Genomic DNA, 15,657 nt, shown 5'->3' on the forward strand with positions numbered 1-15,657 from the left:
CAAGTAGGGGAGACCAGCTGCCCCTGAACCCCAGAACAACCAGCTGGATCAGTTCTCACAGGAGCTACAGCGCGGAGACTGGGTAAGTCAACGATCCCCAGAGCTGGGACAGAAGGGGCAGCAATGGGGCAGCAACTGAGGGAGAAGAGAGCTGACGTTAGTGCTTAGGAGACGTTGCACACTTTGCAGACAGGAAGTAAAGGAAATGGGACCCCAGAGTGGCCGCAGAGGGGCCTGTGGGGTAAGACACTACAGTGTGTGTCATAACCAAGACCCGATCAGGGAGTAGTTACTTCTCTTCTTTTCTTACAGGAAACATGGTTCCAAAACTGTTCACTTCCCAAATTTGTCTGCTTCTTCTGTTGGGGCTTCTGGCTGTGGAGGGCTCACTCCATGTCAAACCTCCACAGTTTACCTGGGCTCAATGGTTTGAAACCCAGCACATCAATATGACCTCCCAGCAATGCACCAATGCAATGCAGGTCATTAACAATTATCAACGGCGATGCAAAAACCAAAATACTTTCCTTCTTACAACTTTTGCTAACGTAGTTAATGTTTGTGGTAACCCAAATATGACCTGTCCTAGTAACAAAACTCGCAAAAATTGTCACCACAGTGGAAGCCAGGTGCCTTTAATCCACTGTAACCTCACAACTCCAAGTCCACAGAATATTTCAAACTGCAGGTATGCGCAGACACCAGCAAACATGTTCTATATAGTTGCATGTGACAACAGAGATCAACGACGAGACCCTCCACAGTATCCGGTGGTTCCAGTTCACCTGGATAGAATCATCTAAGCTCCTGTATCAGCACTCCTCATCATCACTCATCTGCCAAGCTCCTCAATCATAGCCAAGATCCCATCTCTCCATATACTTTGGGTATCAGCATCTGTCCTCATCAGTCTCCATACCCCTTCAGCTTTCCTGAGCTGAAGTGCCTTGTGAACCCTGCAATAAACTGCTTTGCAAATTCATCTGAAAGTGTCTGTGTGTCTTCATTAGCCGCTCTGCTGTCATTTAGTGACAATCTACTCTAGAGATTTTTCTTCCTCTAACCTGAGACTTCCGGGAAACAGAGAGATTTGAAGATAAGAGACGCTTTCTGTCATGAAACAGCACAGTCTTATCCCTCTCCCTGCTTTAGGCTGAGAAGCTGAGGTCTCAACCGATATCTAGCAACTGTCGAAGACTCTTGCTTTGATCAAGCTTTAGTCATCTCCTCTAAACCCTCTTCACAACTAGGTCATCCTGTTGGGCTTCCTAGTCCTTCCTTGTAGAGTCATTTGTATTTATTTTTTATTTTATTTTATTTTATTTTATTTTATTTTATTTTATTTTATTTATTTTATTTTTTGAGACAGAGTCCCGCTCTGTCGCCCAGACTGGAGTGCGTGGCGAGATCTCAGCTCACTGCAAACTCCACCTCCCAGGTTCAAGCTATTCTCCTTCCTCCGCCTCCCGAGTAGCTGGGATTACAGTTATGCACCATCATACCCAGCCAATTTTTGTAATTTTTAGAGAGGGGGTTTCAAGATGTTGGCCAGGCTGGTCTCCAGCTCCTGACCTCAGGCAATCCGCCCTCCTCAGCCTCCCAAAGTGCTGGGATTAGAGGCATGAGCCACCAGTGCCAGACCTAAAGTCAGGTTTAACAGAAGTCCTCCTAACTTGGTTTATCATGAGTCTCTCACCCTCAATATTTGACCAAATTCCTTAATTCCCCCATCATCCTCCATGTGATAACTGATTCCTGACCTACCTTCAAAAAACAAAAATCCAATTACATCAACTTAGCATTGGTCTCCCTAGCCTTGATATCTCCTCTAGGTAATTTTCCATCCACTGACCCCTTCCCGACACCAACCTATAACGAGTATAGATCTCCACTTGTTTTAGTTGTATTTCACAATTGAGCCCAATTTGATACTGAGGTCCTATATGATGCTCTATGGTTGAAGTCTGGTTTTTATTGACATGATTTCTATCCCAAGAGATATAGGGGCTGCAGTGAAAAAGCTGAAAATGCACATGTTTCATTATGATTTATGAATGATAAATTTTGATAGGATTGAATGTTACAATAGAAAACACAAAAACAGAAAGTAGAAAAAGTGAAGAATGCTATAAACATGGTGAAACCAAGATAAAAATAAGTTTAGCCTCAGAGATATTCCTTTTAAATGAGCACATCAAATCTCCAGCTATTAGCAATTGTACTAGAGGTACAACCAGGGTTTGAGTCAAATGTGCAATTAGATAAATTGTTCAGACAGCAATATGGACAGATTGTAATGCTGCCTGGAGGAGAGGTGGACATCTTTCCCAAAACTTCCATACTGGGATACTCATAATCAATCCCTAATGACTAATAACCAATTTTTGATAATAATAAACTACATAATCAAATATTATACACAAATTCATTGATAGTGTTTTCTGCCAGCCTGTAAGTGCCACACCTAAAAAACTTCAAACTTTAGTGTAGTTCCCATTCGGATCACCTGGGGGAATTTTTGCACTATGGATTCGTGGGCTCCATTCCGGATATACTCACACAGAACATCTGCACATGGAGCTCAGGATTCTGCATTTTCAAGCATTTCCTCAAGTGGTTCTGAAACAACCTGTCTCCAGCCCAACTTTGAGATCCATTTTTTACCAAACTCTGGCTTCAGAAGTCTTCAAGTACATCAGAAGTAATCTCGGTGTGGGGAAATTCCAAAGCACAGGAAGCGATGATACCATTTGCATTATTACCCAGACAATTTTAGCCACACACACCTATTATCCAGCATTTATGTCTTGATTTGAGGCTTCTATTCAGTTGACCCTATTGATATCCAAGTGTACACAACTGACCTGTCAGGCTATAGCAACACTCTTCACTTATATGTAGGGAGAATTTGTACAGGGCTTAGCCGAAGTTCATCATGGGGTATGAATTGACTTGGTCTCATTGCTGTAACCCTTGGGTTCAGAAGACACTGAACAAACGCTTAAGAAACTGTTTTAGGTTAATGCATGAGGAGATATTTAACGCCTCAGATAGCCAAAGAATCATGGAGAAGGGGTTGAGGTAGATGGCCCAATAGAAGTGTCCATTGATTGCACCCCCACACATACCAGCAGAAACACCACATTTAACAACTATCTACACACAAAAAAGCACCTACATAGGAAATGAAAATCAAGTCAACAATCATAGTACCTATTTTAACTTCATATCACTGAAAGAGGCACTGAAGAGGTTAGGAAAGACAATTTTGAATCACTGAGGCCACCACTCCCCCATCTCCCAACAGCCGCCACATGGAGCTGAGACAGAATCTGAGAGCGTGGGGGAGGGACAGTGCAGCAATTGTGGAAATCTGCATTGAACTCAGTGCTGCCCTGTCACAGCCCACCCACAGAAGGAGCATTTAGACCACCTTAGCAAAAGGGGAATCGCCTATCCCAGCGGTCAGACACTGAGTTTGGGAAAGCCTTGCCACAGTAGGCTAAAGTGCTCTGGGGTCCTAAATATATTTGAAACTCAATCTAGGCCACAAGAACTACAACTACAAGGCAAGTCCCAGTGCTGTGCTGGGCTCAGAGCCAGTGGACCTAGACACCACTAGTGTGACACTTGTCAGGGCAGCTAAGGGAGTGCTTGCACAACTGCTCCCCCAACCCCAGGCAGCACAGCTCACAGCAATGAAAGTGACTCCTTCCTTCTGCTTGAGGAAAGGAGAGGAAAGAGTAACTAGGACTTTGTCTTACATCATAAAGATCAGCTCAGCCACAGTAGGATACAGCACCAGTCAGAGTCATGAAGCTGCCATTCCAGGCACTAGACACACCCTGCACCAGAAGAAAACCCACTGCCTAGAAGGAAAGGACCCAGTCCTGCCAGGATTCATCACCTGCTGACTGAAGAACCCTCAGGCCCTAAATAACCAGCAGCAATACCCAGTAGTACACTCCATGGGCCTTGGGTGAGACTCTGAGATATGCTGACTTCAGATGAGACCCACCATATTCACAGCTGGGGCAGTCATGAAGGGACAATTCTTCCGCTCGAGAAAAGCAGAGGGAAAAGTAAAGGGGACTCTGTCTTGCAGCTTAGGTAGCAGCTCAGCTACAGCAGGGTAGAGCACGAAGCAGGCTCTTGGAGTCCCCAATTCCAGATCTTGGCTCGTGGTTGGCATTTCTGGACCTGCCGTGGGTCAGAGGGGAACCCACTGTCCTGAAGCGTGAGTCCCAGGCCAGGCAGCATTCACCACAAGCTGACTGCAGAGCTCTGGGGCCTTAAGGGAACATTGGCGGTAGCCTGGCAATACTCCCCTTGAGCCTGTGGTGGAGGTAGCCACAGGGAGAGGCTCCTCTGCCCGTGGAAAGGTAAGGGAAGAGTGAAAGGACTCCATCTCATGGCTTGAGTGCAAGCTCAGCCACAGTACAACAGAACAGCACGTAAACTTCTCAGGTTTTTTACTTTGGTCCCTGGCTCTCAGATAGTACCTCTGGACATGCCTAGGCCTAGAGGAACTCATCATCCTGAAGGGAAGGACACAAGCCCGACGGGTATTGTCACCTGCTAATTGTAGACCTCTAGGGCCTTCAGTGACCATAGGCAATAGCCAGGTAGTAGTTACAGAGGGCCTTGGGTGAGCCAGAGCTATGCTGGATTCAGGTCTGACCCAGCACAGTCCCAGTGGTGGTGACCACAGGGGTGTTTGTGTCACCCCACCACCAGCTCCAGGCAGCTCAACACACAGAGAGAAACATCATTTGTTTGAGAGAAACATCATTTGTTTGAGCGAAAGTAAGGAAAGAAAACAAGAGTCTCTGCTTTGTAATGCAGAGAATTCTGAAAAAATTCTGGAGTTTAAAATGCAATCGACACACTGAAGAATTTCATGAGAATATCTTAATAGTAGAATTGATCAAGCAGAAGAAAAACTTCGTGAGCTTGAAGATAGATGAGTTGAAAAATACATTATCAAAGGACACAAAAGAAAAAATAATGAAGCACAGCTACAAGATCTGGAACATAGCCTTCAAAAGGGCAAATTTAAGAATTATTTATCTTAAAGAGGCAGTAGAGAAAGAGATGGGGTAGAAAGTTTATTCAAAGGGAAAATAACAGTGAACTTCCCAAAGGTACCAATATTTGAGAAAGATACCAGTGTTTGAGTGCAAAAAGATTAGAGAACACCAAGCAGATTTAACCCAAAGAAGACTACATCAATGCATTTAATAATCAAATTCAAGAAGTCAAGGATAAAGAAAAGATCCTAAAAGCAGCAAGAGAAAAGAAACAAATAATACACAATGGAGCTCCAATATGTCTGGTGGCAGACTTTTCAGCGGAAGCCCTACAGGCCAGGAGAGAGTAGCATGACATATTTAAAGTGCTGAGAAAAAAAAATTACCCTAGAATAAAATATCCAGTGAAAATATCCTTCAAACATGAAGGAAAAGTAAAGGCTTTCCCAGACAAACAAAAGCTGAGAAATTTTATCAACATTAAACCTTTCCTATAAGAAATGATAAAGGGAATACTTCAATCAGAAAGAAAAAGACATTAATGAGCAATAAATAATCACCTGAAAGTATAAAACTCACTGGTAACAGCAAGTACATAGAAAACACAGACTATTATAACACTGTAATTGTGATGTATAAATCACTATTATCTTAAGTGGAAAGAAAAACACGAACTGATCAAAAGTAACTACAACAACTTTTCAAGACATAGTACAATAAGACATAAATAGAAAAACAAAATGGTAAAAAGTGAGGGAATGAAGTATAGGGCTTTTTTTTTTTTTTTTTTTTTTTCTGAGACGGAGTCTCGCTCTGTCCTCCAGGCTGGAGTGCAGTGGCGCGATCTCGGCTCACTGCAAGCTCCGCCTCCCGGGTTCGCGCCATTCTCCTGGCTCAGCCTCCCGAGTAGCTGGGACTACAGGCGCCCTCTACCGCGCCCGACTAATTTTTTTGTATTTTCAGTAGAGACACGGTTTCACCGTGTTAACCAGGATGGTTTCCATCTCCTGACCTCGTGATCCGCCCGCCTCGGCCTCACAGAAGTATAGGGTTTTTATTAATTTTCTTTTTGCTTGTTTATCCATCTGTTTGTTTAAGCAATCAGTGCTAAATTGTCATCAGTTTAAAATAATGGGTTATAAGATATTGTTTGGGGGCCTCATAATAACTTCAAATCAAAAAACATAAAACAGATACTAAAAAATTAAAAGCAAGAAATTAAATCATACACCAGAGAAACTCAATTTCACGAAAAGAAAGACAGGAATCAAAGAAAGAAGGAGAAGACAACAAAACAACCATAAAACAAATAACAAAATGGGAGGAGTTAGTCCTTACCTATTAATAGCAACATTGAATGCTAATGGACTATCCTCTCCAATCAAAAGATATAGAATGGCTGAATGGTTTAAAAAAAAAGACTCAATGATCTATTGCCTACAAGAAACACACTTCACCTATAAAGACACACAGAGACTGAAAATAAAGTGATGGAAAAAGATATTCCATGCCAATGGAAACCAAAAAAGAGCAGGAGTAGTTATATCAGACAAAATAGATTTCAAGACAAAACCTATTAGAATAGACAAAGAAGGTCATTATATAATGATAAAGGAGTCATTCAGCAAGACGATATAACAATTGCAAATATATATGCATCCAACTCTGGAACACCCAGATATATAAAGCAAATATTATTAGAGCTAAAAAGGGAGATTGGCCCCAAATACTGGATAGCTGCAACACCCCAATTTCACCATTGGACAGATCTTCCAGACAGAAAATCAACAAAGAAACATTGGGCTAAATCTTCACTATAGACCAACTGAACCTAGTAGATATTTATAGAACATTTCATTCAATGGCTGCAGAATACACATTCTTCTCAGCCACATGGATCATTGTCAAGGATAGACCATATGTTAGGTCACAAACAAAATCTTAAAACTTTCGAAAGCATTCAAATAATAACAAACATCTTCTCTGACCACAATGGAATAAAACTGGAAATCAATAACAAGAGGAGTTTTAGAAACTATACAACTATACAAACACATGGAAATTAAACAATATGCTCCTGAGGCTGAGGCTGCAGTGAACTATGATCACGCCACTGCACTCCAGCCTGGGTAACAGAGTGAGACTCTGTCTCCCCAAAAAATAAACTAATAATAAAATAAATAAACAAATAATGGGCAAGATATCTGAATAGACATTTCTCAAAATAAGACATATAAGTGGCAAACAGCCATATGGAAAGGTGCTCAACATCACTGATCATCAGAGAAACACAAACCAATACTACAATGAGATATCATCTCACCTCAGTGAAAACAGCTTTTATCCAAAAGACATGCAAAAAAGAATGCTGGCCAGGATGTGGAGAAAAGGGAACTCTCGTACACTGTTGGTAGAAATGTAAATTAGTACAACCACTATGGAGAACAGTTTGGAAGTCCCCGAAAAAACTAAAAATAGAGCTACCACAAAATCCAGCAATCCGACTGCTAGGTATATACCCAAAAGAAAGAAAATCAGTAGATCACACTATTCAGCCACAAAAAAAGAATGAGATCCTGTCATTTGCAACAACATGGATAGAACGGGAGGCCATTATGTTAAGTGAAATAAGTCAGGCACAGGAAGACAAACTTTGCATGTTCTTACTTCTTTGTGGGAGCTAAAAACAAAAACAACTGAATTCATGGAGATAGAGTAGAAGAATGGTTACCGGAGGCCGGGAAGGGTAGTGGGGTGATGCGGAGGAAGCGAGGATGGTTAATGGGTACAAAAAAAATAGAAAAAAAGAATAAGACCTAGTATTTGTTAGCGCAACAGAGTGAGTATAGTCAATAATAATTTTATTGTACATTTAAAAATAAGAGTATAATTGGATTGTTTGTAACACAAAGGATAAATGCTTGAGGGGATGAGTACCCCATTTAACCTGATATGATTATTACACATTGCATGCCTGTATCAAAATATCTAATGTACTCCATAAGCACATATTCTTACTAGGTACACACAAAACTTAAAATTTTTTTTAAAAAGAATCAAAGGAACTGGTTTGAACAGTCAAAAGACAGTTGTTGCCGGCTTCTGTAGTCTAAGCCACTGAGGAGGCAGAGGCAGGATGATCACTTGAGCCCAGGAGATGTGGGCTATAAGTGCGCTTAAGCCGATGGGGGTGTTCATATTAAGTTAAGCATCAATATGGTGACCTCCTAGCAGGAAGGGACAACCAGGTGGCCTAAGAAGAGTTGAACCAGCCCAAATCAGAAACAGAGCAGGTCAAATCTTCTGTGCTAATCAGTAGTGGGATCATGCCTATGAATAGCCACTGCACTCCGGCCTGGACAAGATAGTGAGACTCCATCTCTAAAGATCAAAACAAAACAAAAACCACAGCTACTGCCAAACAATTTATAAAAGATACACTGAAGGATTAACCAAGATCCCAAAAGATAATGGTGTTTTACAAGCGGCAGGAAAATGCCATTAGTAGACTGAATCTATCGTATAATTTCTCACTATTCTCTGGGATTGCTCACTCAACTTGCTTTGGCTCCACGTAGTATCAGCTGCACTGGCTACAGCAAGTGTAATCTAGGCTAGAGATTTCAAGAGAACCTCATTCCATGTCTAGTTGATCTGCTGAGATGACCAGAACACTGGGGCCTCCATCTACTCTATCTTCACCATCCAGAGCCTGTGCTTAGACTCTTCTGCAGCTATAACAGAATACTTGAAACTTGGTGATTTAAAAAGAAAAGAGGTTTATTTGACTCAGGTTGCTGGAGGCTTGTAAGTTCAAGCAGCACAGCACCAGCATTTGCTTGGCTTCTGGTGAGGACCTCCTGTTGCGTCACAACATGGCAAAGAAGTGGAAGGGGTAGCAAACAAGCTGGAAAAGGGATGAAACAAAAGACATAACCTGGCTTTATAACAACTCTTTCTCAGCCCGGGTGCAGAGGCTCATGCGTGCAATCCCAGCACTTTGGAAGCCCAGGAGTTCCAGATCAGCCTGGTTAACATGGTGAAACCCCACCTCTGCCCCCAGAAAAACAAAAATTAGCCAAGCATGGTGGCACATGTCTATAGTCCCAGCTACTTGAGAGGCTGAGGTGGGAAGATCATTTGAGTCTAAGAGGCAGAGGTTGTAGTGCGGAGGGATCGTGCCACTGCACTCCAGCATGGAGACAGAGTGAGACCCTGTCTCAAAACAAACAAACAAACAAACAAACAAAAAAACTCCTTCTCATAGTAACTAATCCATTACTAGGAAAACTAACCCAGTCTTCCAAAAATGCATTCATTCGTTTATGAGAGTGGAGCTCCCATGACCCAAATATTTCTTAAAAGATCCACTACCTCTCTATACTGTTAAAATTGTAATTAAATTTCAACATGAGTTTTAGCAGGAATAAACCACATCCAAACCATACCAACCTCTCCCTCTATGTGGTCTCTCCAGTAACAGAGCCCAATCTTCCTTTACATGCTGCTCAAGGCTCCAAGGCAGCTTGGAATAGTCCAAGCAGCAGCAAGGACTATACTTAGGGGTGTACATGGTCACCCTTTACTGAAGTCAAAGTAACCCCAAAGTCTTTGGGTCCGAGTAAGTCACAAAGTCAAGCCAGGGTCACTGTAACAAGGGAATCACAGAAAGGGATGGATGATAGGAGGCATTAATGATTGGGGCCATTCTGTAATAATTTGCAACAAACTAAGTCAACTTCATGGACGTGTGAACAGTGAAGTCACACGGGACGGAGCCCATGCTTGATTTAATGTTTCAATGTCATCATTTGAAATTTCTAAACACTTTTTGAAGAAGAGAACCCACATTTTCATTCTGCACTAGGTCCAACCAATTGTTTAGCATGTCTGACCACGGATATGTTATTATGCATTACCCTAGGTGCACCCCACCCCTACATTATGGGTCCTTCTCAACACAGGCTCTATTCATGGTTCTCTTGTCAATGAAGGATGGATGTAGCATAGGGCAAGAATACTGATTCTGGCTGCAGGAACCTGGAGGCCAGCCTGCTTGAGTTCAACTCTTGTCACTGAAGACTCCACCCTCACTTTTTTGATCCCAGTCAAGCAGGAGATTCCTATTGACAGATGCTCTGAACCACCTGATGTTACAAGTTATAACAGGGCTGACTCATCATATAGAAAATATATTAAAATCAAAGCCATGATTGACAAAGGGAGCATAGGCTGGGCACAGTGGCTCACGCCTATAATCTCAGCACTTTGGGAGGCTGGGCGGGGGTGGTGGATCACGAGGTCAGGAGTTCGAGACCAGCCTTACCAACATGGTGAAACCCCATCTTTACTAAAAATACAAAAATTAGCCAGGCGTGGTGGTGGGCATCTGTAATCCCAGCTACTCAGGAGGCTGAGGCAGGAGAATCAGTTGAACCCAGGAGGCAGAGGTTGCAGTGAGCTGAGATTGTGCCATTGCATTCCAGCCTGGGCGACAGTGCCAGACTCTGTCTCAAAAAAAAAAAAGAAAAAGAAAAAGAAAGAAAAGAAAAAGAAAACAGAAAAAAAAGAAAAAGGGGGCATCATAAATGAGGTGTCTCTCATACTTAGAGATGGCAGGGCAATAACAGAAAATACTTCTATGGATCTCAAATCTGCAGTTTGCTAAAGGCAAACGCATAGGCAAGATTCACTGAGTTGGACACAAGAATGAGGCATCAGTGATCACCACATAGGCTTAGTTTCTTCTAAGGCATCTTAACAGACAACACAGAAAATCCTCACTCAATATGACCTTATGGGACTGCTCAGTACAAGAGCCCCATTCTGAGATTCTGAGGAATCATTCTGGGTCATTGATTGAGGGACCAAATGTAGATGTTTTGACATGACAAATCAGCTCCAACCAACATCCCCTTCCCACTGCCTAGGATATTAGCCTGATACTGGGACAATCTGTCACAAAGTCAAAGCACAGCAGTAGCTGCAGGGTGAGTAAGAACTCTGTTTCATCAGGGGACAAACCCCATCTCATCCACACACCCTGACCCTCCACCCAGTATTCTTTAGGATCAGGTGAGTAAGAACTCTGTTTCAGTGGGGGACAAACCCCATCTCATCCACACACCCCCACCCTCCACCCAGTGTTCTTTAGGATCACCTTACCACCTGAAAGTTTCTAAGAACCATAAAAAACCTTTGTTTATGTTGATTATTCATATTTACTTATCTCATTAGAAATTAGAACTATTTTTTAAATAACTATTAATCATAAACCAGTTAATACAATTATTACGTGTAAATATAAAGATCATACTTTTTGAAAAGTAACTCTGTTTTTTAAAACAAAAAAAATTAAAAGGAATGGCATTGTTTTACATTTTCAAAATTTCTTTAATGTCTGAGTCTATGTAGACATCTGGACACTCATGTCTGCCTGGCGTTCAGTCTGTTACACTATGTCGTTTTGCTGAATTGTATAAAGAGAATCTAGCCTCACACAAATGGGTGGTTAGGAAGGAAGCACCCCATGGATACCCCAAAAAGGGTTTGAAGACCACCAGCATTCTTGGGCCACACTTGACCTAATCAGAGCATTCATCCCATTTCAGAGGTCCTGGTGGGTTATGAGATGGGCCCTCGAAATAATCAGACATTGGCTGGGAATGTTGGGGGAAGAAGGCAGGAGACTTTTTCTCCTCTGCTTATTTCTGAGATAATATAAGGTTTTGGGGCTGTTGCAACCATCTTGCCAATATGTAAAGGACGTATGCCTGAAAAGTGAACTAAGATAGAGCATAGAGGGGTACGGAGAAAGAGTGTATAACTGGTTTCTCTTTTCATCATCTGAGTTCTGATAAGCTGCTCATTAAGCCATAACTGTCCCTTACTGTTTATAACAGTTTAACTATACTTTCAGATTCTTAGGTCTTGAGAAAGACCAAGTACTTGGAGGGAAGGTGTTTCAGGGTACTAAAAAGCAGCAAAGAAATCATAAAGAATTTAAGATATAAATCCATGCTCTGTTATTTGTTCATTTTAATATGACAATCATTTTATATAGGTATCCTTGAGAAAATTACTTTTGAGCAAAGACTTACAGGGGATGAAGAACTTAGCCCGGCACATGCAGGTGGGGTGGGACTAAAGTAGCCATGAAGCAGGCACATGCCAGGTATCCTCAAGGAACAGTAAAAGGTCAGGAAACTAGAGGGGAGTGACTGAGAGGCAAAAGAGTAGAAGGTGTGTCCTGAAAAGTGCGTAGGAGGACACATTACATTAGGGCACAGGAGATTGTAGGGATCCCAGCTTTTACTTAGTGAAATGTGGAAGCTCTATGGGGTTCTGAGCAGAGCAGCAGGACCTGAGTTATGGTGTAAAAGGATCACTGTGGCCACTGTGGTTGATGAAGGTGGAAGAAGGGCACAGTGACGGGGTTTTGCAGTTCTGCCAGTGGGAGGTGTTGGTGTCTCAGACTTGGCGGTTGTAGGGGAACCAAGAATCAGTAATCAGATCCAGGCATGTTTTGAAGGTAGAAACAACAGTATTTTCCCATAGATTAGCTGGAGTATGTTAGAGAATGAAAGCGTAAAGAATTATTTCAAACCACTTTGGTTTTCACTGAAAACGATGGAGTTATCTTCAACTGAGATAGGAATTCCGAGGAAGGAACTGGTAGATGAGGGGATTTGGGGAGATGATCAGTGTTTCCACTTGGGATGTAAAAAGTCTGCAACATACATGACACATCCATGTGGTGTTATCAAATAACAAATTGGATGCAAGAGTCTGCAGTTCAACCAAGAGAGCTGGGCTGAAGATTGGTTTGGGAGTTGATGGCATTTCATCCATTGATCCCACTGATGAAAACCAAGAGATGTCATGTGGATCAAGAAGAAGCCCACCACTGACCCTTAGGAAGCTCCAACAACAAAATTCCAGGGGGAAGAGGAGGGACTCACATAGGAGACTGAGAATGAAAGCCCTGTAGGGTAGGGGACAGGCCAGGGGACAGCAGTGTCCTACACACTGAGAGGCAGCCTGACTATCTGCCTTAAGGGCACCACGACTGAACTTGATGCTTTTCATCCCTGTTTCTATCACAGGAAGCTCATTCCCAGATCATCCCAGGTGGAGGCAGTGATACTATGTTAAATGCTTCTGATAGATCAGTAAAGTAAGAATGGAAAATTGACCCAGACAGAGGCTGGGGCTGTGGGGAATGGTCTCATTCCAAATGTCAGGGATCCCCATGACCCAAACTGTTGGAGGACAGGAGTCTGGGCAGTGGATTGAGGAGACTTTTCCAAGTTCTTGACCTAGAGAAGACAGTCTCCTCCAGGAGGTGAGAAGAAAGAGCGTCCACACTGGAGTCATATTTTCCTCCCAGAGGAGGGAATGAAAAGGAGGAGAGTAGAGCATGTATGTCTCCCTTCCCCTGAGACGCTGGTCCTCCTTTTCCATTACCCCGGCCCTCCATACTTCACATGAACTGTTTTTGTCTCCATCTCTCCTCACTCTTCTACAGACTCATCAGATCAACTCACTTGACAATTCCTCCCTCCCTCTGAAGCACCCATCTCCAGTACCTTCCTTCTCTCTAATCCCCCTCTTCTGCCCTGCCCTTTCTTGTGGAGACCTCTACAGATTACCCATTCTATTTCCTTCCTGGGGCTGCTAGAATGAAATACCACAGACTAGGTGGCTTATACAAGAGAAACTTATTTTTTCACAGTTCTAGAAACCAGAAATCCAAGGTGTATTAGACAGGGTTCTCTAGAGGGACAGAATATTAAGGATATATATATATTTATGTATATATCTGACCCACCCCACCTTCCATGTCCATGCTAATGGCAGGGTGACCTACTCAGAGCAGTCTTCAGTAAGTGACTACTTGAAATGCCTTACTGCAGTTCTCCTCAGTGACCTGTAAGAGGGATTAAGGGACTCCCCTGTGGCTGCATCCACAGCCATCAAACCTACCTTCGCTGGGCCTCACCAGTCTCTGCTTGGCCTTTCCAGATGGTCATGGCCCCAGGCTTGTGAATCATGTCTGAGTTCCTCTGTTGTTTTTCCAGGAAGCTGGCATCATAAGGCTAGTCTCTGTCTGACAAACTAACGCCTCCAGTCACCTCCCTGGATATGCCTTTCCATCCCTGCACTGACATCCCAGGCCCAGACCAGAGCTTCACCCTCAGTCCGTTGCACCCTACCTGCTTATAAAGGTTGACTAACTGACTTGTATCATACAGTTAGAGTTAGGGCTGGCACTCTCAAAATGCTGTCCGCAGTCTAAGCACTGTGCCAAGGAACTTTTGTTTACAGAAATGCAAACGTACAGATGTACGAACTCTATTTCCCGTGAGCTCTCAGGTCTCAATGGCCACCTTCAATATAACTGTTACATGCACTGGGAAACAAAAAAATGTGTGTTTTAAAAAATAAAAATTGTGGCCGGGCGCTGTGGCTCACGCCTGTAATCCCAGCACTTTGGGAGGCCGAGGCGGGCAGATCACGAGGTCAGGAGATCGAGCCCATCCTGGCTAACACGGTGAAACCCCGTCTCTACTAAAAATACAAAAAATTAGCTGGGCGTGGTGGCCGGCGCCTGTAATCTCAGCTACTCAGGAGGCTGAGGCAGGAGAATGGCACGAACCCGGGAGGCGGAGCTTGCAGTGAGCAGAGATCGCGCCACTGCACTCCAGCCTGGGCGACAGAGCGAGACTCCGTCTCAAAATAAATAAATAAATAAATAAATAAATAAATAAAAATAAAAATTGCAGTGGTCTAGTACCAAACCCACAACATCTCTGAGGTATGCCTGTAGTATGCAGACATCAAAATAGAATGAGGTATACTCTTGCTACTAGCGTGAAATATGTCTAAAATACATTGTTAGTGGAAAAGAGGTAATGTGTAGAACGTTGTGTATAGAATGTTACTATTTGTGGGGGGGGGGAATAGGAAATAAACACTCATCTATATATATATGTCAATGAGTTTATGAATATAACATGTAGATATGCATAGACAGTAAAAAGATATAAACAAACTGCAAATTGTTGCATCTGGAAAAGAAAAGTAGGATGTCTTCATCCTTTTCGCTACATTTGCCCTCCTAATATTTGAATTTACCTCTGCCATTTGCATTTACAACGTATCTGTATATGTAAAAGAAAAATCAAACAGCCTACCTCATTGTAGCCCTTTCTGAGCCTACTGAGGAATGGTCCCTGGTAATAGAAAGTTTAAGAACGAAGCTGTGAATTTCAATTTACAGTTGAATTTCACAACTGTAAACTACTCTAGCGATGCAGCATAGACTTGACCTCCAAACCCCAAGCCTGCAGCCCGCGGCAGACAGGCCGAGAGTGGGGCAGCCGTCTCTCCTTCCTCGCCCTGCCCTCCTTCTGCACATCCAGCCACCTCCGCAATGGAAAGCTCGTGGCATACAGCAGGCGCTCATTATTTGAAGCCTCTTCATTCTCCTGCTTCCTCGGTGGTTAAGGAGGCTTTTGGAAGTTCAAGTCCGTCTCAGCTAAGAACCAGGAGACACGGCTTTGGTGCCTCTCGGCCCGCTGGGTCTCGGCGGCGCAGCGTCCCCTGCCGGCCACTGTGGCGGCGG

General features: G+C 43.1%; 1 protein-coding gene and 1 pseudogene across 1 annotated transcript; both read left to right on the forward strand.

Annotated features, from left to right (window-relative positions):
• Positions 1 to 32: 32 nt before the first annotated feature.
• RNASE2 (ribonuclease A family member 2) lies at positions 33 to 982 on the forward strand. The gene is made up of 2 exons (NM_002934.3): positions 33 to 82; positions 313 to 982. The coding sequence occupies exon 2, from the start codon at positions 318 to 320 to the stop codon at positions 801 to 803; it is 486 nt and encodes a 161-aa protein (NP_002925.1). The 5' UTR covers positions 33 to 82; positions 313 to 317; the 3' UTR covers positions 804 to 982.
• On the forward strand, positions 8,125 to 8,413 carry RN7SL189P (RNA, 7SL, cytoplasmic 189, pseudogene; annotated as a pseudogene).

This window comes from Homo sapiens, chromosome 14 (genome assembly GCF_000001405.40).
Source record: "Homo sapiens chromosome 14, GRCh38.p14 Primary Assembly".
Taxonomy (NCBI): domain Eukaryota; kingdom Metazoa; phylum Chordata; class Mammalia; order Primates; family Hominidae; genus Homo; species Homo sapiens.

Excerpts from the sequence above, each read along its gene's own strand:
- RNASE2 (NM_002934.3), top strand. The coding sequence starts at position 318 with ATGGTTCCAAAACTGTTCACTTCCCAAATTTGTCTGCTTCTTCTGTTG.